The sequence below is a fragment of the Homo sapiens genome, chromosome 10 (genome assembly GCF_000001405.40).
Source record: "Homo sapiens chromosome 10, GRCh38.p14 Primary Assembly".
In the NCBI taxonomy this organism is placed as follows: domain Eukaryota; kingdom Metazoa; phylum Chordata; class Mammalia; order Primates; family Hominidae; genus Homo; species Homo sapiens.
The window spans coordinates 65,486,846-65,508,997 of record NC_000010.11 but is presented as its reverse complement, the minus strand read 5'-3'; positions in this window follow the sequence as shown (position 1 = coordinate 65,508,997).

Genomic DNA, 22,152 nt, shown 5'->3' with positions numbered 1-22,152 from the left:
TGAACTCTGATGAACCTTTTTTTGCCAGAAGAAACAGCTTTCCCACCCCCAGTAGTGGCAACATCCCCTCCCTGACCCACGCTGCCATCAGCCTTTCCACTTTTGTCCGAGGAGATAAACTCTGTGCTTACTAAGGCAAGAAGGATAGCCTCCCCTGAGGCAGGTGCCAGGCAGGATAATGTTGATTTTCTTCAGGAGCCACCTCTAACACTCCTGTTTGCTTCTAGACTTATAACTAGACTAAAGTCCTGGCAGGCCTCTAGAGGTGAAGTTCAGAGTGTGACCCACACTTGAAAAGAAGTGCTTGAGTTTTCTAATTTATAGAAGCAGAAATCTGGAAAACAGACATAGGAATGGATATTAAGGGTACGGGATAATGGTGGAAAGAACAGAGATGGATCAGGCTGAATTTATTGATTTGGGCCCACTAAGCAGGGATTCTGCATTTAATGTTGCAGCTTGGGGAGATAAAAGTGTTTCTAATCATTTATTTGCTTGTTAGCTGAAATATGGATTAAAAGATGGCCCACTGTGAGTGAGCTGGAAATACCTGATCTCCCTTGGTTTAATGTAGAGGATGGGTGCCAAAGGCTTAGGGAGACTGAGACGGTGGAGTGGATTAGTCACTTTAGACCTACTCATCCCAGCTGGGAGGGTCCAGAAGATAGACCCTTGACCAATGCTTTGTGAAATAGATTTGTGAGCACAGTACCTGCATCTTTGAAAGAGCCCTGTAATTGTTCTTCTCTGTATGTCAGATCTAACAGTGGGAATGGCAGTCATTCAACTACAAAATTTAAATACAATGGGAATAATTGGATCCCGAAGTGGCAGGGGCCAAGTGACAGCACTAAACCGTCAAAGGCAAGGTGGGCATAGCTACCATAATGGACAGTGGAAGCAAAGCAGCAATCGGAATAGTCTCACTCCTGGAGAGCTCTGGCATTGGCTAATTAATCATAGAGGGCCTAGAAGTGAAATTGATAGGAAACCTACAACATTCCTACTTAATTTATATAAGCAGAAAACTTCCGGGTCGAGTGGACAAAACACTAATTTGAATCATAAAAACAGAGAACCACATCCCCTCAATCAATTTCCAGACTTAAGCCAGTTTACAGACCCAGAACCCCTTGAATGAAGGGGAGGCTAGGTCCCCTTGAGGAAGGACCCCAATACACTACCGACAATTTATGCTGTTAATCTTTCTCCCATCTTTCCCCAAGGAGACCTCCAGCCTTTTACCAGGGTAACTGCATTGGGTAAAGGGAAATTATGAGACATTTCAGAAACTACTGGACACTGACTCAGCTGACATTGATTCCAGGGCACCCCAAACATCATGGTGGTCCTCCAGTTAAACTAGAGGCTTATGGAGGTCGGGTAATTAATGGATTTTTAGCTCAGGTCCAACTTACAGTGGGTCCAGTGAGTCCCTGGACTCATCCTGTGGTCATTTCCCCAGTGCCAGAATGCATAATTTGCATAGATGTACTTAGCACCTGGCACAACCCCCACATTGGCTCCATGACTAGTAGGGTGAGGGCCATTATGGTGGGAAAGGCCAAATGGAAACCGTTAGAGCTGCTCTACCTCGAAAAATAGTAAATCAAAAACAATATCACATCCCTGGAAAGATTGTGGAGATTAGTGCCACCATCAAGGACTTGAAAGACGCAGGAGTGGTGATTCACATCACATCCCCATTCAACTCTCCTATTTGGCCTGTGCAGAAGACAGATGGATCTTGGTTAATTATAAGCTTAACCAAGTGGTGACTTCAATTGCAGTTGCTGTACCAGATGTGCTTTCATTGCTTAAGCAAATGAACACATCCCCTGGTACCTGGTATGCAGCCATTGATTTGGCAAATGCCCTTTTCTCCATTTCTGTCCATAAGGCCCACCAGAAGCAATTCGCCTTCAGCTGGCAAGGCCAGCAATATACCTTTACTCTCCTACCTCAGGGGTATATTAACTCTCTTGCTTTGTGTCATAATCTTGTTCGAAGAGACCTTGATGGCTTTTTTGCTTCCACAAGATATCACACTGGTCCATTACATTGATGATATTATGCTGATTGGATCCAGTGAACAAGAAGTAGCAGACACACTGGACTTATTGGTGAGACACATTGGACTTACTGTGTGCAAGAGGATGGGAAATAAATCTGACTAAAATTCAAGGGCCCTTTACCTCAGTAAAATTTCTAGGGATCCAGTGGTGTGGGTCCTGTTGATATTTTCCTTCTAAGGTGAAGGATAAGTTGCAGCATTTGGCCCCGCCTACAAACAAGAAAGAGGCACAACTCCTAGTGGGCCTACTTGGATTTTGGAGGCAACACATTCCTGATGTGGGTGTGTTATTCGGACCCATTTATTAAGTGTCCTGAAAGGCTGCCGGTTTTGGGTGGTGTCCAGAACAGGAGAAGGGTCTGCAATGGGTCCAGGCTGCTGTGCAAGCTGCTCTGCCACTTGGGCCATATGGCCCAGCAGATCCAATGATGCTTGAGGTGTCAGTGGCAGATAGGGATGCTGTTTGGAGCCTTTGGGAGGCCCCCAAAGGTGAATCACAGAAGAGGCCTCTAGGATTTTGGAGCAAAGCTCTACCATTTTCTTCAGATAACTACTCTCCTTTTGAGAGACAGCCCTTGGCCTGTTACTGGGCTTTGGTGCAAATTGAACGTTTGACTATGGGTCATCAAGTCACCATGTGACCTAAACTGCCTTTCATGAACTGGATGCTTTATGACCCATCTAGTCATAAAGTGGGTCATGCACAGCAGCATTCCATCATCGAATGGAAGTGGTATATATGTGATTGAGCTCGAGCAGGTGCTGAAGGCACAACTAAGTTTCAGAGGAAGTGGCTCAAATGCCCATGGTATCTACTCCTGGCACCCTTCCTTCTCTCCCCTGCCTGCACCAGTGGCCTCATGGGTAATTCTCTATGATCAGTTGACAGAGGATGAGAAGACTAGGGCCTGGTTCACAGATGGTTCTGCATGATATGCAGGCACCACCCAAAAGTGGACAGCTGCAGCACTACAGCCCCTTTCTAGGACATCCCTGAAGGACAGTGGTGAAGGGAAATCTTCCCAGTGGGCAGAACTCTGAGCAGTGCACATGGTTGTGCACTTTGCATGGAAGAAGAAATGACCAGATGTGAGATTATTTGCTGATTCATGGGCTGTAGCCAATGATTTGGCTGGATGGTCAGGGACTTGGAGGAAGCATGATTGGAAACTTGGTAACAAAGAAATTTGGGGAAGAGGTATGTGGATGGACCTCTCTGAGTGGTCAAAAACTGTGAAGATACTTGTATCCCATGTGAGTGCTCACCAAAGGGTGAACTCAGCAGATGAGGATTTTAATAATTAAGTGGATAGGATTACTCATTTTGTGGACACCACTCCGCCTGTTTCCCCAGCCACCTCTGTCATCGCCCAATGGGCCCATGAACAAAGTGGCCACGGTGGCAGGGATGGAGGTTACACATGGGCTCAGCAACATGGACTTCCACTCACCAAAGCTGACCTGGCTACAGCCACTGCTGAGCGCCCAATTTGCCAACAGCAGAGACCAGCACTGAACCTTCAATATGGCACCATTCCTAGGGGAGATCAGCCAGCTACTCATTGGCAGGTTGCTTATATTTCCATCATTGAAAGCACAGAGATTTGTCCTCACTGGAATAGACACTCTAGATATGAGTTTGCCTATCCTACACACAATGCTTCTGCCAAGACTACCATCCGTGGACTCACAGAATGCCTTTTCCACCGTCATGGTATTCCACACACACCATTGCTTCTGACCAAGGCACTTACTTTATAGCTAAAGAAGTGCGGCAGTGGGCTCATGCTCATGGATTTCACTGGTCTTACCATGTTCCACATTATCTTGAAGCAGCTGGATTGATAGAATGGTGGTATGGCCTTTTGAAGTCACAATTACAACGCCAACTAGGTGACAATAATTTTCAGGGCTGGGGCAAAGTTCTCCGGAAGGCCATGTATGCTCTGAATCAGTGTCCAATATATGGTACTGTTTCTCCCATAGCCAGGATTCACAAGTCCAGGAATCAGGGGGTGGAAGTGGAAGTGGCACCACCCACCATCACCCCTAGTGATTCACTAGCAAAATTTTTGCTTCCTGTTCCCATGACATTACATTCTGCTGGCCTACAGGTCTTAATTCCAGAGGGAGGAGCATTCCCACCAGGAGACACAACAATTCCATTAAACTGGAAGTTGAGATTGCCACGTGGACACTTTGGGCTCTTCCTACCTTTAAGTCAACAGGCTAAGAAGGGAGTTACAATGTTGGCTGGGGTGACTTACCCAGCCTATCAAGATGAAATCTGTCTACTACTCCATAATGGAAGTAAGAAAGAGCATGCCTGGAATACAGGAGATCCCTTTGGGGCTTGTCTTAGTATCACCATGCCCTGTGATTAAGGTCAATAGGAAACTACAACATCCCAATCCAGGCAGGACTACAAATGGTCCAGACAGACCCTTCAGGAATGAAGGTTTGGGTCACTCCACCAGGAAAAAAAAAAACACGACCTGCTGAGGTGCTTGCTGAAGGCAAAGGGAAACAGAATGGGTCGTAGAAGAAGGTAATCATCAATACCAGTCACAACCAAGTGACCAGTTGCAGAAAGGAGAACTGTAATTGTCATGAGTATTTCCTCCTTCTTTTGTTAAAAACATATTTGTTCATGCATACACTTGTACTAAGAAAATATCTTCATTTTATTTCCTTTTTCCATTATCATGTGATTTAAGATTTACTGACTTCACATTAGCATTTAAGTGTTTTTAACTTTATGTAATAGCATTTGGATTGGGGATTGGTGCCTTTCCAGTTGTATGAAGGATAGTTGTAATATGTTAGGCATAATTATGACCTTATAATTCTCTTTATTTGAAGATTATGTATGATCTCAGGAGGTGTGTATGGGTTCGAGTTGACAAGGGGTGGACTTGTGATGGTTAATACTGAGTGTTAACTTGATTGGATTGAAGGATGCAAAGTATTGATCCTGGGTGTGTCTGTGAGAGTGTTGCAAAGGAGATTAACATTTGAGTCAGTGGGATGGGAAAGGCAGACCCACCCTTAATTTGGGTGGGCACAATCTAATCAGCCACCACTGCGACTGGGATAAAAGCAGGCAGAAGAACATGAAGAGATCAGACTAGCTTAGCTTTCCAGCCTACATCTTTCTCCTATGCTGGATGCTTCCTGCCCTCGAACATGGACTCCAAGTTCTTCAGCTTTGGGACTCAGACTGGCTTCCTTGCTACTCAGCTTGCAGACGTCCTATTGTGGAACCTCGTGAATGTGTGAGTTAATACTCCTTAATAATCTCCCCTTTTTATATATATGTAGCCTATTAGTTATGTCCTTCTAGAGAGCCCTGACTAACACAGTTGGCATGAGGGCCTGCAGTATAAATTCATAGATTAGGCTCATTATTCCTTTTTTGTCCCATATTGCAGTACCCTGATCAAGTACCCTATTATGAGTCATAAAAGCAATATCCCTCTCTACCCAAAGGTATGACAAGATAAGGCATCTTAGGCAAGCATAGTGGTGGTGAAATAGCTATAAGTAAGTTTTTTTTTGCATATACGTTGTAGTTATATTAGTTACAACAAAGTTCTTAGACATTCTAATAACTCTACTATTTAACATAAGCCCCAGAGATTCCTCATGATGTTTCCTACTCCTTGTGAAGGATAGAAGAATCATTTTCTCACAAATAAACCTATAAAAATAAGATAATGACCTAAACCAAAGAAATATATATACATTCTTGGGTGTGTAAGTATACATATGAGTGCACACACATACACCTATATATATATACACACATACACGTATATATGTAATATATTGTATACATTACATATATACAAATATATATACATATATATTTACATATATAGATTCACTGAATATATATGCATACTGAAATCAGGGGAAATCAATGAAGCACATTTTTTGGATATGATATCAATATATACAGATAATAAAACAGTCCCAAACAAACTGATAGATAGGCTAAATGCTGAAAGTGTTTTCTCCTTCACTAAGAAAGGTATACTATTTAAGAATTGCTAAATGTATTACCTTTATAAATTAGACTACTTATAGCAGGTATTCTACTTTCTGTGTTGTACTACTCAGAATAGTATTTAGCAATAAATTACTCTCTGGTAGAAGTCTCCTGTAGGCTTTACTTTTTAGAACTTTTAATTAAATTGCTAAAAGCAAACAATAACCCCCACCATATCATATGAGACTGTTCATTCCCCAAGACAATGAATCTAGCTTCTGTTTTTAACTGAAATAACCTCTCAACAAATATCTTTTTGACTTTTTTCTCATAAAAATAATAATAATAGAACTCTTCCAGAAAAAAAAATTCTGCTGCAAAAGTAAGGATATGAAAGAAGAATATTTTCTTCAGAAATATTACTAAAGTTTTCTGTCACCTAAAACCCGCTTTCTAGTTTCAAGTTTTATATCACCACATAACTTGAAGTTCCACATTATTTGTGTTTTCCATTTGTATAATAAGGAAAATTTAATAATTCAAAGAAAGGTCACTGAAAAAGTAATTTAGAATTGAGATCTCAATGCCCAGGCAAAGCACAATTCACTGGGTTAAGCTGTCCTTTGAAAAATGTGACTGAAAATACCATACAGAATACCAAACATGATCACAGTATCAGAACTTCTTTAAGTTGACAAATGATATTCTTTTAGGATGGAAATTAGTTTTCGTCTTCTGACATATCAGCCCTTTATTCCGTCCCATATTCTCTCAAATATTCATGTCAAGTTTGTCCTCCACTAATGAGAAGGTAAAAATTATTGTAGTTGAACATCTGGCTTAAGAAACAAGTTTTCTACCTTTTACCCAGGTTAGTACCGAAGGTGGTGTTGGCAAAAAAGTTACATAGCTCTTCCTATTTAAGTTGTTTTTCATTGATAAAGTTATAGAGGACTGTCAGAACAAACAAACTAAAGCATAATTAACTTTAAATAAATTAAATTCACAGGTTGGAATAGCTTTTCTTTTATTCAAAACTGCCTGCACCAGGTCTACACCAGTCATTAGCTTCAGTACTATTCAAGAATACCATCTCTAATAAACACAAAAACCCAAGTAAATAACAAAATAATAAATGTAAGGCAAAAACATATAACAAATTCAGGCATTTTAATTATATAGTTACTACTTAAGATAAATAATTTCATTATTTATTAGGCAACTAACAACATGATATTCTTTAAAATATAACATATTAACTAGGAAACTGACAAAACCTAAATAGGACTACAAGATTTTAATTTACTTTTCTCAATAGATCAAGTAGACCCAAATTTACCAAGTTCCTAAATAACACACATATCTCCTGTGAACCTTGAAAGAGCCGATCCTTCCAGATGGATCTTGAGTGGCTAAATGGGCCTATATTCAAAATGGGGTTGAGTGGCCATTTGCTGACTAGACGTCACCCATGTACTCTGCGTTCCTGGAAAAAAACCATGCTTAAGTAGCATAGGAACTTTCATAGCTGTCTGCTCTTGTTTACATAGTCTAGATCAAAGGCTGCTGGAAAGTCCCATTTCACCACCTAGACCTAACCAATAGACTGCAACCTGTGATCATTCTTAATGTCAGTGCACCTTTATTTTGTACTGAAGGCTGCATCTCTGTTTTGCAAACTGCTCACTGGAATCATCTCTTTCTTTAAAAAAAAATCTTTTCAGTGGATTTATTAACACTATAAGCACAAATACCTGTGTATGTGTGTACATATATGTAGGGGTATACACAAATACATGTATACACATATATTTATGCTTTACTCTGAAAAATTTAATCACTCACTGGTTTATTTGTTAAAATTTATGCCTTTATTCTATTAATGTTTTGAGGAATCTACTATGTGCAAGTGATTCTAGGCTCTAAAAATGAAGTATTGAAGAGGATAGATGAGTTACTGCTCTTATGAAGCTTGAAATCGGTGGGTTAAAAAGATAACTTGTATACAAGTTAACAAGTAAGATTATGACTGTGTGCTATTGTGGAAATAAAGAGGCAATGTGACATAATTGTGGAACCAAATGTCAATTAAGAAACTATGACCTATTCAAAAAATGGTGCTGAGAAAATTCACCAACAATTTTTTTTCTGTGTTTATTTTTTTATTTTATTTTTTATTATACTTTAAGTTTTAGGGTACATGTGCACAATGTGCAGGTTAGTTACATATGTATACATGTGCGATGTTGGTGTGCTGCAGCAATTAACTCTTCATTTAGCATTAGGTATATCTCCTAATGCTATCCCTCCCCCCTCCCCCGACCCCACAGCAGTCCCCAGAGTGTGATGTTCCCCTTCCTGTCTCCATGTTCTCATTGTTCAATTCCTACCTATGAAAAAATTCACCAACAATTTAAACAAAAGTTTAACATCTGCCTCACATTATGCACAAATTCTGTGTGAAGTGCTAAATTAGAAAATTAGAAAAAATAGAAAATCTTTAGAAGAAATATAAAAAAATGTTATTTTGGCTTCTAGCTAGAGGGGTAAAAGGAATAAAATTATATATGCAAATATTTCCCTGGTAATATAAACTTACAATTTCTAAAGGAAAACAATACCATAGAAGTTTTTTGTTATATATTAAAGAGATAAATTTTAGTGCCAAGTATTCATAAAGAGCTAGACTGAATCAGTTAAAATAGAATGTTAGGAAACAGGCAAAAGTTATGATGAAGGAAATAAATATAAATTGCTGAAAAATATTTGAAATTATGTTCAAATCCAAATCAGTTATTTTATAATAAATATCACACACAAACTTGAAGAAAATTCTTGAGAAGATATGAGATGAAGGGATGTTTACAGGGTTTTATGACAGCTTTGAATGATCAATTTTGGAGCAGCAAAGAATAAGGAATTTTCAGAGTATTTATATTATGAAGATCTTTTTAAAACTCACCTTGAATATATCACTAAAAAATTATCCATGAATTTCTTTCATTCTCTTGCCAATACACTTGAAAGTGTTCAATCTTAGAAAATAGGATCATGCAACAGCCGCTGGACTATGAAACAGTGAGAATATATACTTAGAAGTAGATTCTCTAGGAACATCGGTTTCTCTTGTGGAAGAGCAGGGTAACCTGGTTCCTAAGCATGCAACAGAAGAAAGATAATAACCCAAAAGAAAATTAAGATCTTTAAAAAATATACTGTAGATGGCAAGTGCCAAAAGTAGTCAATGTTTATGGTGCCTTTCCTTTCTTCCTACACTTACGGCTTCCAAAATCCTCTATTTACAATACTAAAGCTCTTTCTCAACCCTAAGAACACTTTGCTCTTTTCAAAGTGAGACAAGCCGAAGTCTTATTGTTGCTATAAACAATGTTAAAAGCTGTCCATTTCTCTTTTGCTTTTGCAATTCATTTATTGTTTTTCTTCTGTGAATTAGTGGTAAATATTTTCTTTTATTCTGCAGAGTAATTGGTTAATACCTGAATCCACCAACACATCTTATATGCCATAGTGTAAGAAAAGAAGATGAGAAATAAAATTAAAATATATATAAATGTAAGCAAAAGAACAAGAAAGGAAATAGAGGCCCTCTGTAGTCCTAAATTTGTCACATGTTAATATATTGTAGCTGTTTTATTAATCATTTTCTTTCTTCATCATCTATTGCATTATAGTTTTGCCCTTGGCCAAACCTCTTATTCAACATTTATTTACATATTCAGATCAAAATGAAGAATAATTTATGTGTCATTAGCTGAATGCCTGTTTTCATATGATGATTGGATTTTCTGTAATGAATAGAAGCTTTCTTAGAGTCGCCACTTTAATACATCTGTAATAATCCAATGTCATTCTCAGATCCTGTTGTGTTATGTACCCAGTCAAATGGAGATTGAAATGAGAATGCAGCAATAAATGCACTTCTTGTTTTTTTCTTTCTGTTTTTTTTTTGCATCATTCAAGTCACGGAATAGAATATTATTGTCTTATTTTGTAATCTTCATTGTTTCATATAATATTTTAGAGCATTTGTCTTTGCTGTTCCCCTGGGAAAGCTCCTATCTCAGATGGCTTAATCCTCTGTGTTATTCAGCACTCCGCTTAAATGCCACTTCCTCAGAGAGGACTTCCTTGGTCATCCTTTCAAAAGCTGTACCTATTGTTTATTCCTTGCCCTATTCTTTTTTCTTTATAATATTTAGCACTACCTGAAATTATATATTGTCTGTCTCTTTTATTAGACTATAAACTCAATAAAGATAACGTTTTATTAAATTTAGAAGTGAATTAGAATGCCTAGGTTGTGGATAGGGCATGGTGGTTTACAAAATGTGTTCCCTAGATTAGCAGCATCAGCATCAACTGGCAACTTGTTAAAAATGTACATTTTGGGTTCCAACCCAGACCTACTAGGTTATAAACTCTGGGAGTGGCCTCAGCAGTCTCTGCTTTAAGCAGTTCTCCACGTGATTCTGATGCTCTCTAAAGTTTAAAAACTTATGTCATAGCAATGGCTGGTGCTCAGTAAATATCCTTAATGGCAACTTCACAAATCAGGAATTCACTGGGGAAATCCTCTCAGTTGCTGAAGTTATCTATTTCAACTCTACAATCGGTAACTGGGAAAATAATCCCAGGAAGGGTTTCGAGTCCTGTAGGATTTTCCAAGGTATGAATGAGGGTTAAAATTTCACTGATCATTTGATTGACCTTGTAAGTTCCTACATTGGTAGGGACACCTCACTAGCACTCTACCTACCCTGGAATTTGTGTTGGTCTAGATCCAAATACAGCATTTCTTAAAAGACTTGGTTTTCCTGTTTTATGGGACAGACACTCATACAAGAACAGTCACATGTATCTGAGATTAGAGTACTGATAATACACACTTGTATTGTTACAGAAGTGTTCCTCCTTAGGAGTACTCAAAATCTCCTCTCTAGCTGTGCCTGAGTTGTAGATGGACTCAAGAGTGGGAATGGTTTAAATTTAAAGATATAAAGATAAAAATACAAAGATGAAAAGATACATAAATCTATATAATTTTATACTACTGTGGCAACTCAGTTGATTCCTCTTTTATTTATTTATTTATTTGCATTACAGGTTTTTAATTTGAATTTTATAAGATACTTTTTGTTCCCAGGTATCTCCTGACTATTCACCATAGCTAGAATTTTCTTATTTTTATGGATATTTAGTTTTTAAGTAAAACAAGTTGACTCAATGACTCTTTGATTAGAGTGATATTTGACTTGAGTGATAAAGTCTCTCTTTGATTACAGTGACGGAATCAGCTGGAAACTAAAAAAATAAATTTAGAAAGTAACCGGAAGGTATGCTCTGCCAATTTGGGATTTTTAGCTATCTTTGCATTAACTTTGAATAGAATTCAAAATACCTGGGAAAAGAGTGCCAGATTGGATTAGCTTACTTCACCCTTTCAAGATAAGGAACTCAGGGAACATTGAATTATAGTACCACCAAGAGTAAAAGAATGAGAAAGAGTTCGTTTCCCAAAACGAATTTCACTGCAGTTAAGAAAATTGTTGTTTGGTAGCCCAAAACAGCAAATCTCCACTAATCTTGTTGTTTAGTGTTGACTACCGGGCACAAAGCCAAATATTTGAGCATATTTATACCTTTGAAGAGCTGAGTCTAGATCAATATTTTTTCCATGGCGTTGCTGGTCAGAAAGTATGTGTTTAACTTTGAAAGAGAAGGAAAGCAATATTGCTCTGTACATAGCTCATTTTTTTTCCTTTCAAAGTTCTTTAAAAGCATTAATGCATTAATTTTCACCAATACTCCAAGAAAGAAGAAAGTGTTATTATTCTCATTTTTCAAGTGAGTAAAGGAAGACAGAAAGAGATTAAGTAACTTGCCGAAGCATCAGGTCCAGATTGGAATTTGTGAATTTAAGCAAGTTTCCCTGTAGTAGCACTTTCCCTCAGTAAAAGCAAGAGGTAGGGGCTAGGGGGTTGGGGGGGTGGAGATTGCAAATACAGAGCTTTTTTCTGCAAATCATTTTCAGCTTGTCATCAAAATTCTGATTTTGCTCCTTGAATACACTAGCAGTAGGTATGGCAAAAAGTGTCTGCCAAATATACCACAGAATTGTAACACTATCCTTTGGTTCAATTTCTATTGGCACGTTTTGAAAAGCCCCGAGGCCATTTCCGCTGTGTCACAGAGCTCCAGTACAGAATTCCCAGGAACAGATCCCCTCTGTGAAGAAGACCGCAGGTTCTCCTGCATATAGCACTTAAAAAAAAAAAAAAAAAAGTATTCTGGCTGGTCTCGGGCTCTATGAGATACATCACCACACTGCTTTTCATTTTGGAGCTCAAAGATTTTGGAAAATTATTTTTTCATCCAGTAAATAAATCCCAAATATTTTTGGCATATTTTCCTTTAACAATAGTCTAATCCATGGGAGTTTATCATAAACATTATTAATTGGACATGCTGGCTAGCATCATGTTCTGCTTATGAGGAAAAAGTTATATGACATAGGAAGGCACAGAGTCTAACAGATTCTCAATTAAAATGAGGACAAACATTCCAAATACAGTGAAAGAAATTTCAAAATAGTAATGATATTAAAAGTAATAAATCAAAGTGTATCCAGATAAGTCATACCTCACTTCATCCTTGCCCTTCAATATAGATGTGAATATTGAAACAGAAAGCACTGTGATGGGTAAGAAGGTATTTCTGGTCTTATTCGGTGATCAATACTCCTTTCAATTCGCTTGCATAACCTTTCTAGTTTTCCTTTCCCATTTCTTAGTGGATTTACTCTGTGTTAGGAAATGCACTAAATACTTTATCTGCCGAGCATAGACTCCCGTTTTTCCCCCTCTGTTCATATCTCACCTCCATAACTCACCAGCCATTTGAAATTAAGTAAGTTACTCAATCTCTCTATGCTACAGTAAACTGTAAACTGGGAATGATATTTATGATTATCTCATAAGATCTGTGAGGAAAATAACTTAGATAATGCTCTTGCCAAATTTCCAGCACATATTAGGTGTTAATTTTACGTTAACTATTGCAGTTAAGTTTCATGATAATTCTACAAGTAGTATTGTATTTGTCATTTCAAAGATGAAGAATTTTGAAAAGCTTAAGTAATCCATAGCTCCTTGATCTCATCTGCTTGCACCTAAATCTAGGCTTCAGTTTTTTTACCCTTATTCTGATTATCTTTGTTACTGGAAAGTGATCCCGATCCAGATGCCAAGAAAGGGTCCTTGGAGCTCAGGCAAGAAATAATTCGAGGTGAATCCATATAGTGAAAGCAAGTTTATTAAGAAAGCAAAGGAGTAAAAGAATGGCTACTCCAGAAGCAGAGCAGCAGCATGGGCTACTCGACTGCATTTACTTATTTCTTGATTATATGCTAAATAATGGGTGAATTATTCATGAATTTTCCAGGATAGGGGTGGGCAATCCCTAGAACTGAGAGTTCCTCCCTCTTTTAGCCCATATAGGGTAATTTCCTGATGTTGTCATGGCACCTGCTAACAGTCATGGTGCTGTCTTTTAGCATGCTAATGCGTTATAATTAATGTATAATGAGCCATGAGGACGACCAGAGGTCACTTTCATCACCATCTTCGTTTTGGTGGGTTTTGGTGGGTTTTCACCAGCTTCTTTACCGCATCCTGTTTTATCAGTAAGGTCTTTGTAACCTGTATCTTGTGTTGACCTCCTATCTCATCCTGTGACAAGAATGCTTAACCTCCTGGGAATGCAGGCCAGGAGGCCTCAGCCTTATTTTACCCAGCCCTTATTCAAGATAGAGTCGCTCTGTTTCAAACACCTCTGACACCTTGATTGATCATTTTGTTTAAACTTCGTTTTCCAGCTCTGACCTCAAACCCCTTCAACAATATGGCTTCCATTTTCATCCGTGGGCTCTACCTATGATGACCTCCCCTGTATTGGTACCTGCCCCTCTACTACCAGGACAACCCTGAGCTCTGTGAGACCCAAAGATACAGCCTTCTTTCCAAACAGCCATCAATTCTTTCTATTGGAGGGGGCTAGAAAATAACAGCTTCATGGGTCTGTCTATACCAATGGCTCTCTGATTTTGGCCTACATCAGAATCAGTTGGAGAAGTTGACAAAATATATTTCTGGCTTCTATTTCCAGAAGATTTGGTATATCTAGGGTAAGGCTCAAGAATTTGCATTTCTAAATTTACAGAGAATGCTGATACAGCTGCTCTAGGGAACACATTTTAAAAACCACTGGTCCGGGCCGGGCGCGGTGGTTCACGCCTGTAATCCCAGCACTTTAGGAGGCCAAGGCCAGTGGATCACCTGAGGTCAGGAGTTCAAGAGCAGTCTGACCAAGATGGTGAACCCCATCTCTAATAATATTCAGAAATTAGCCAGGCGTGGTGGCGGGCACCTGTAATCCCAGCTACTCAGGAGGCTGAGGCAGTAGAATCGCTTGAACCTGGGAGGCAGAGGTTGCAGTGAGGCAAGATCACACCATTACACTCCACCCTGGGGGACAGAGGGAGATTCCATCTCAAAAAAAAAAAAAAACCAAGAAAACAAAAACGAAAACCATTGGTCTGTGTGTTTTTCTCAAAAACCCCAATAGAACATTCCTGTCAGAAATATAGCTTTTTTCCCTCAAATTAAGAAATAGCCAAATCATTTATGTTAAGCTATGGTTTTTAGTGAGTTCCAGTTTTAATCAGCATTTGGACATATCAAGTACTTATTAATATTTACACTCCATAGCATATTTTACAGCTATTAATTTGAATGTTGCTAGCATGGTTAGAGTACAGTTATTTAAACTTGAAAATCAAAAGTGCCTGCATTAAAGAGCATCTTTTTCCTGAGAAATTCAGTGTATTCCATACTAGAAAGTTACTTTCTCTGGTATAAAGATAAGACATTAGTTTTATTTATAATATTTGCAAAGGCAAAAGTAAGAAGTTGATTTTATCATTAGTTTAAAAACTATAAAAGCACAACCTGGCACTGTTATATTTTGAAAATTTACTTCCTATAATTTAACCAGTGATTTTAGAATATTTATATTATTTTCAATCTCACTTATTTCAGTAGTTTCTATTGGGAATAGTAGGTCTATGAAAGGATTACTTGGGTAAAAGACAACTTAATGTTCAAACATATTTGGTAAATTATATACTTGGGCAGTCGAGTTTTCTATGTTTTTTAGGATTTATTGTATATACCTAATTTGAATATCATTCATTTTCAAAGCAATTCAATATAATGCACTACTTTAGTAGTTACTCAATGAATATAATTAAAACGTATTTTTGTGCTTCATAGCCTGTGCTTTATTTTAAAGAGCCATGGCAATTGTTCTGGCAAAAAACATAGTTAATGCAGATCTATAAATATTAAGATTTTAGGTAAAATTGATTTAATTATTTATAATTAAATATTTTAAAAATATTTATATTTCCCATTTCGGTATTTGACTAAATGCAGACTTACGGGATATTAGGAGCCTAAAGATATGCTAGCAACCTACAGTTACCATCATGTAAATACTTATACTTCCAGATACTGAATAATGGGTATTACATTTGTGTTCAAATTTCTACTATAATTTTTTGTCTGCATAATTCTGTGAAAAGTGTACTTCCCACCTTCCTTGACCAAATTCCATGTTTTGAACTTCCTTTTTCTATCCTCTGAATTTGATCCTAACCAAATGTGTTTCTTGAATAACTTGTGTACAATAAATATTGCGTTGTTAAATTAGGGAAATAATATGGGATTTAAATTTTAATTAAGGCAAACATCTGAGCCAAATGTTATGCAGCTTATTAAAGTAATATTTATGAACTGATTGTGGGATAACAGCAGTTAATTACTGCAGCTCACATTGTAAAAAATATCAAAGTCTAAGCTTTCTATAAATCATAATAATGAATTTTATTCACTCATTCATTCACTCTCTTGCTTACTCAATTTAAAAAGACTGTTTTCTATAATGAAATGTGCTCTCTTAACATTAAAATGAGCGATTGTAATCTAGGGTTACCTCATGCTTATCAAAAGACTATTTAACTCTTTAAATCATCTTTCTATTTCAAAAGGTCTGCTTTTTTGCCAGACTTTAAGGTCTGCTTTTCATTCATTTATTTTTTCATTCACTCATTCATCAAACTTCTGTTGAATACCAACTTTAAGCAAGGCACTATTTGAGTTGAGATAAAAGAGTAATACATTTGTCAAGAAATGACATGCACATAGTTACTCTAAAGCACACTAGATCTTGAAGTTGTATAAGAAATAATTAAACCAAAACCAAAAGATACTTGAATTCGCAGGAAGAAACTGCCTGCAGCTGGGAATGTTTAACATTTAGGTGCCGCCTAAATCCTGTCATTATTACTGCAGAAACTCTATGGTAGTTTGGGTCTTTAAGACATTATTCCATTTGAAAGTGCTCAGTTGATTCAATAGTCAGTGCTTTTGGGGAATTACATATAATTCCCAGCACTCCCAGCACTGAAGCTCGATTGCCTTCACAGACAAGGAAACATGGTTACAGAGATAAAAACATACAGACTTCCAATTCTCATTCTGGTGATATTCCCACTAGTACCTGCTGCCCTTTCATTAAGAGCATTTTCTGCATAAAAGACATGCTGGTTGCTCAGGGAAATTAAGATCAAATGGAGACCACTTTGCTGCAACCCTGAGTCTCTGGAAACTGCCTTCAAAATCTCTATAATCATGTAGGATGCAGCTTACAACAACCTATATAATGTATGTATTAGCTTTGGTTAGAATTTGACACTGATAGTTTAAATTTCAGTCATTCCTAAGACCCATTTATGGCAGTTGGTTTTGTTTAGCTATATAACATCTGTTTGATTTCAAAGGCAGTGCTCTAGTATTGCATCATTTATTCCTGAATATTTATTGAGAATAGTTTTTCAACACTATACATTTTTTACATGTAATACTAAATAATAGGAAGCTCAGTAAATTTACTTTTGCACCAATATTTTAAACTTCATTTATTTTGGAGAAAAATAAGATATATACCTAATATAGTATTAAAACTAATTGGACTTGTTTTCCTCATACCATTTTCCTCTAGGGATTACTCCTGAGCTACTCTTTATTAATAGTAAGCATGAATGATTTAGCAGCAGAATTGGGACAAATGCATATCCCAATGTGGAGCTACATCGAATAATCCCTTTATTGGATTTGTATTTTAGCTTAAATCTCACAAGTAACAATCACACTTTTTAAAAAAAGTATCCACATTTTATATACTTTTTTAAAAAAGTATCCACATTTTATATACAATGCAAGTAATGAAGCTAGTTCAAATTCATTTCTTAAGAAACAAAAATATTTCACACTTTCGACGTATTTTGATTACCCATTTGAGGCATGACTTAACTTTGTTTTGAGTAAACATTTAATTTACTGGAGGAACTCCAAAGCTATGATATTATAAAACCATTTACCCAAATAGTTGCTCTAATGTTTTTAATGTGTCGATATAACAATGAGATATTTATAGAGATTCTACTTTTTATATTGTTTAATATGAACCAAATGTCAATTTCTTCAGCTCTTATTGAATAATGATGTATAATCTAGGGGACTTATTTTATTTACTTATAAGAGTCTTCCTTTACAAATCTTTTTAAAAAACATACATCCATGCTGTAATCATAGAGTAATAGAATATCACTCTCACATCTTATAAATAATAATGACAGCCACTAAAACTAGTGCATAATATCAAATAAACTACCTTGAGTTTTAAGTAAATTTTATTTTGATTAATAATTATAATTTTAAAACTATACAGAATGTTAAGAACACGTTTTAATACAAAGTTGTGCTAAATAGGATAAAATAAATAGTATTGGACTTTAGTCAAAAATAAGAATTTTCAAAAATAAAGTGAAAAAGCATATTATTGGAAAAATTGCTGAGATACCGGAAGACAAAAATATGTAGTCAAAGAAAATACGTATTTTTAATATACAGTATTATAAGTATTTTAAAATTTGACTTAAAAAATAACTGTTTTTAAAGTTATTTCTAATTTAATACCTAAAAACATATTTTATATATTTAGCCATTCTTCCATTAATGGACATTTAGATTAGTTCTAAATTTCACAACATCACAATTTTTGCCAGTCTAATGGGTGAAACATTTGGATATCTGGACTTCTGCTTCCAGGAATGGTGAACAAGATAATCTGAGCCAACCCTCCCAATGAAAACAACTTAAATACCGGGATGATTTTTATATATAATTTTTATGTATAGTAAATTAATGCTAATTGAATTTATTAATTTATTATATTCATTATTTTCATGTTTGCATATTTTTAAAAGCCTGAAATATCAAACGGTGTGGTGTGAATCAGAATCCAAAAGATCATACCCAGTTAGAGTTACTTTTGTAGGAATTTGGGGAGCAGATTATATATAGAAATACAACAATGTGCATGTTTTCACCTTGTATACCATAACCTTGATAAACTCACTTATTAGTATTTGAATTGCTGTAGTTTAGATGTTTGCCCTCCTAAACTTCATGTTGAAATTTGATTCTTCATGTTGAAGGTCAGGCCTAATGGGAGGTGCTTGGGTCATGGGGGCAGATCCCTTATAAATACAAAAACATTAAAATCGATATAGGGCTTTACGAGCTATCTACTTCTTCTTGAGTAAATGTCTTCTAACGTATTTTTCATTTTTTTTATAAATTATCAAATTTGATGGCATACACTTGTTCATAATATTACCTTATTAATTCCGTATCTTTAGTATCTATAGAAAAGTTCCTTTTTTACTTCCGATTTTAATTATTTGAATCCTCTATTTTAATTCCTCTCATTGATTTTGTTTTCTATTGACTGGTTGAAGCTCTTTTTAAAATTTATCTATCTTTCTTAATTTGCTTTTTCCTTAACTTCTTAAGGTAATTGTTTCAGACTTTTTGTCTCTTCTACCATAAGCATTTATTGCTAACACTTTCTCTCTGAACTTTGCTTTGGCTGCATCTTGCAATTTTTTATAACTTGTGTTTTTATTTTTATTCAATTCTAAATATTTTCTTTTCTAAATTTTTATATTTAAATAGCTTTGGGGGTGCAAGTGGTTTTTGCTTATAAGGATAATTGTATAGTAGTGAAATCCAGGATTTTAGTGTACTCAATCACTGAATTCTGTACATTGTACCCAATAGTAGCTTTTTATCCCTTATCCTCCTCCCACCTCCCCCACTTCTGAGTCTCCAATGTCCATTATACCACTCTGTATGCCTTTGTGTAACCATAGCTTAGCTTCCACTTATAAGTGAGAATATGTAACATTTGGTTTTCCATTTCTGAGTTACTTCCCTTAAGATAATCACCTCAAGTTCTATCCAAGTTTTTGCAAAAGACATTACTTCATTCTTTTTGAAGGCTGAATAAGTAGTCCAATAGTAAGTAGTTCATTTTCTTTATCCAGTCATCCATCAGTGGGCACTTAGGTTGATTCCATATCTGCAATTGTGAATTGTTCTGTGATAAACATATGTGTGCAGGTGTCTTTTTGATATAATGACTCATTTTCGTTTGGATAGATACCCACCAGTCAGATTGTTGAATCGAAAGATAAACCTACTTTTCGTTCTTTGAGAAATCTCCGTATTGTTTTTCACAGAGGTTGTACTGATTTATATCCCCATCAGAATTGTATAAGTGTTCCCTTTTCACCACATTTATGCCAACATTTATTTATTTATTTATTTTTTATCTTGAGCAGTGTCTGGGCTATTATTACTATTATTTTACTTTTAAATAATGGCCTTTCTGGTTGTGGTTTTAATTTGCATTTCCCTGATGATTAGTGATGTTGAGCATTTTTCAATGTTTATTGGCCATTTGTATATCTACTTTTATGAAAAGTCTGTTCGTGTCATTTGCCCACATTTTCATGGGATTATTTTGTTAAGAAATTTTTGCACCTATGATCATCAGGGATATTGGTCTGTAGTTTTATTTTTCCGTATGTCCCTCCTGGCTTGGTATCAGGGTAATAATGGCTTTATAGAATGAGTTAGGAAGATTCCCTCCTTCTCAATCTTTTGGAATACTTTCAGTATTATTGGTACCAATTCTTTGAATATCTGGTAGAATTCAGCTGTGCATCCATCCAGCCTTGGGCTTTTGTTTTGGCATATTTTTAATTACTGCTTGTTATTGGTCTGTTCAGCACTTTTGTTTCTTCCTGATTCAAGGTAGGGTGGTTGTATGTATCCAGAGGTATATTCATTTACTGTAGATTTTCTAGTTTGTATACATAGAGATATTCATAGTAGTCTCAAATGATCTTTTATATTTCTGTGGTATCAGTTGTAATGTCTCCATTTTCATTTCTAATTGAGCTTATTTGAATCTTCTGTCTTCTGTTTTGATGAATCTAACTAATGGTCTATCAATTTCATTTTTTGAAATGAACAATTTTGTTTCACTGGTCTCTTGTATTAATTAATTTCTTGTTTTAATTAAGTTTAGTTCTGCTCTGACCTTCGCTTTTTTTTTTAATTTTTGGCCAGGGTTGGGTTTACTTTGTTTTTGTTTCTCTAGTTCCCAGAGGTGTGACAATAGGTTGCCAATTTGTCATCTTTCTGTCTTTTTGATGTAGTTGTTCAACACTGTGAATTTTCCTCTTAGCACTGCTTTTGCCATATTCCCAGCAGTTGTGATAATTTGTGTTACTGTGATCATTCATTTGAAAAATTTTTAAATTTCCATCTTTCATTGTTAATCCAAAAATCATTCTGAGCAGATTGTTTAGTGTGTATAGTTTTGAGGTCTTCTTTTGGAATTGATTTCTAGTTTTATTTTGCAGTGGTTTGAGAAAATACTTGCTATGATTTCTATTTGTTAAAATTTATTGAGGCTTGGTTAGTAGTCTATCATATAATCTATCTTGGAAAATGTGCCAATGAGAAGAATGTGTATTCTGCAATTCTTGGGTAGAATGTTTTGTAATATCTGTTAGGTCCATTTGTTCTAGAGTGCCGTATAAGTACAGTGTTTATTGACTTTCTACCTTGATGTCCTGTCTAGTGCTATCAGTGAAGTTTTGAAATCTCCCACTATTATTGTGTTGCTGTTTATCTCTTTTGTTAGGTCTAGTAGTAGTTGTTTTATGAATCTGGGTGCTCTAGAGTTAGGTGCATATATATTTAAGATTGTTATGGCTTCTTGTTGAATTAACCCTTTTATTATAATTACTTTCTTTGTCTTATTTATAATACTTTGGTTCCTTTAAAGTCTTATCTAATATAAGAATACCTACTCCTGTTCACTATTGGTTTTCATTTGCATGGAATATTTTTTCAAAATACTTTTTTTGTTTTTGACCTATGAATTATTTTGATATGCTTTGTTAAATTTCCAAATATTTTGTGACGTCCCACATATCTTTCTGTTATTGAATTCTAGCTTAAATCACATTGCAGTCAGAGAAAATGCACTTTGTGATTTCAATCTTATTAAAATTGCAGGGAGTTATTTTATGGCTCACATATTTTATAGAAGAGTATTGTCTGAGAGAGAGTACGTAGTCATGTTGCTGTGCACCAGAGAGTGGAATTCTTTCAGGTCTTTGGGTCCAACTCAAGTCTTTCTTGTGAACACAAGGAGGGGATCTGTGAAAAGAGTTGGTCCATCAGTGTCAAGCCAAGAACTCTTAAACCTTGAGCTTTCAAGTATTATAAACCCTTATAGTAGCGAACACTTAATCTTTCAAAATTCATTTTTTTCATCTACTCTATGGTGTTTCCATCTAGTGACCATGAGACTTCATTTCTTTTATGGGATTTATGAAAAGCTTTTATTTTGTGGGCTATTCACCTCTTTTCTTATTGTTATGGTGCCTGCAACAATCTAATCTTGTTTTTTATGTACTGATCAGAAGCAGAACTGGTCCAATACACTTTCTGTAGCATTATAAAAATAAGCATTACAAAAATAAAAACCATGAATCCCTTGAAATTTTTATTAGTATTTTTTCAAA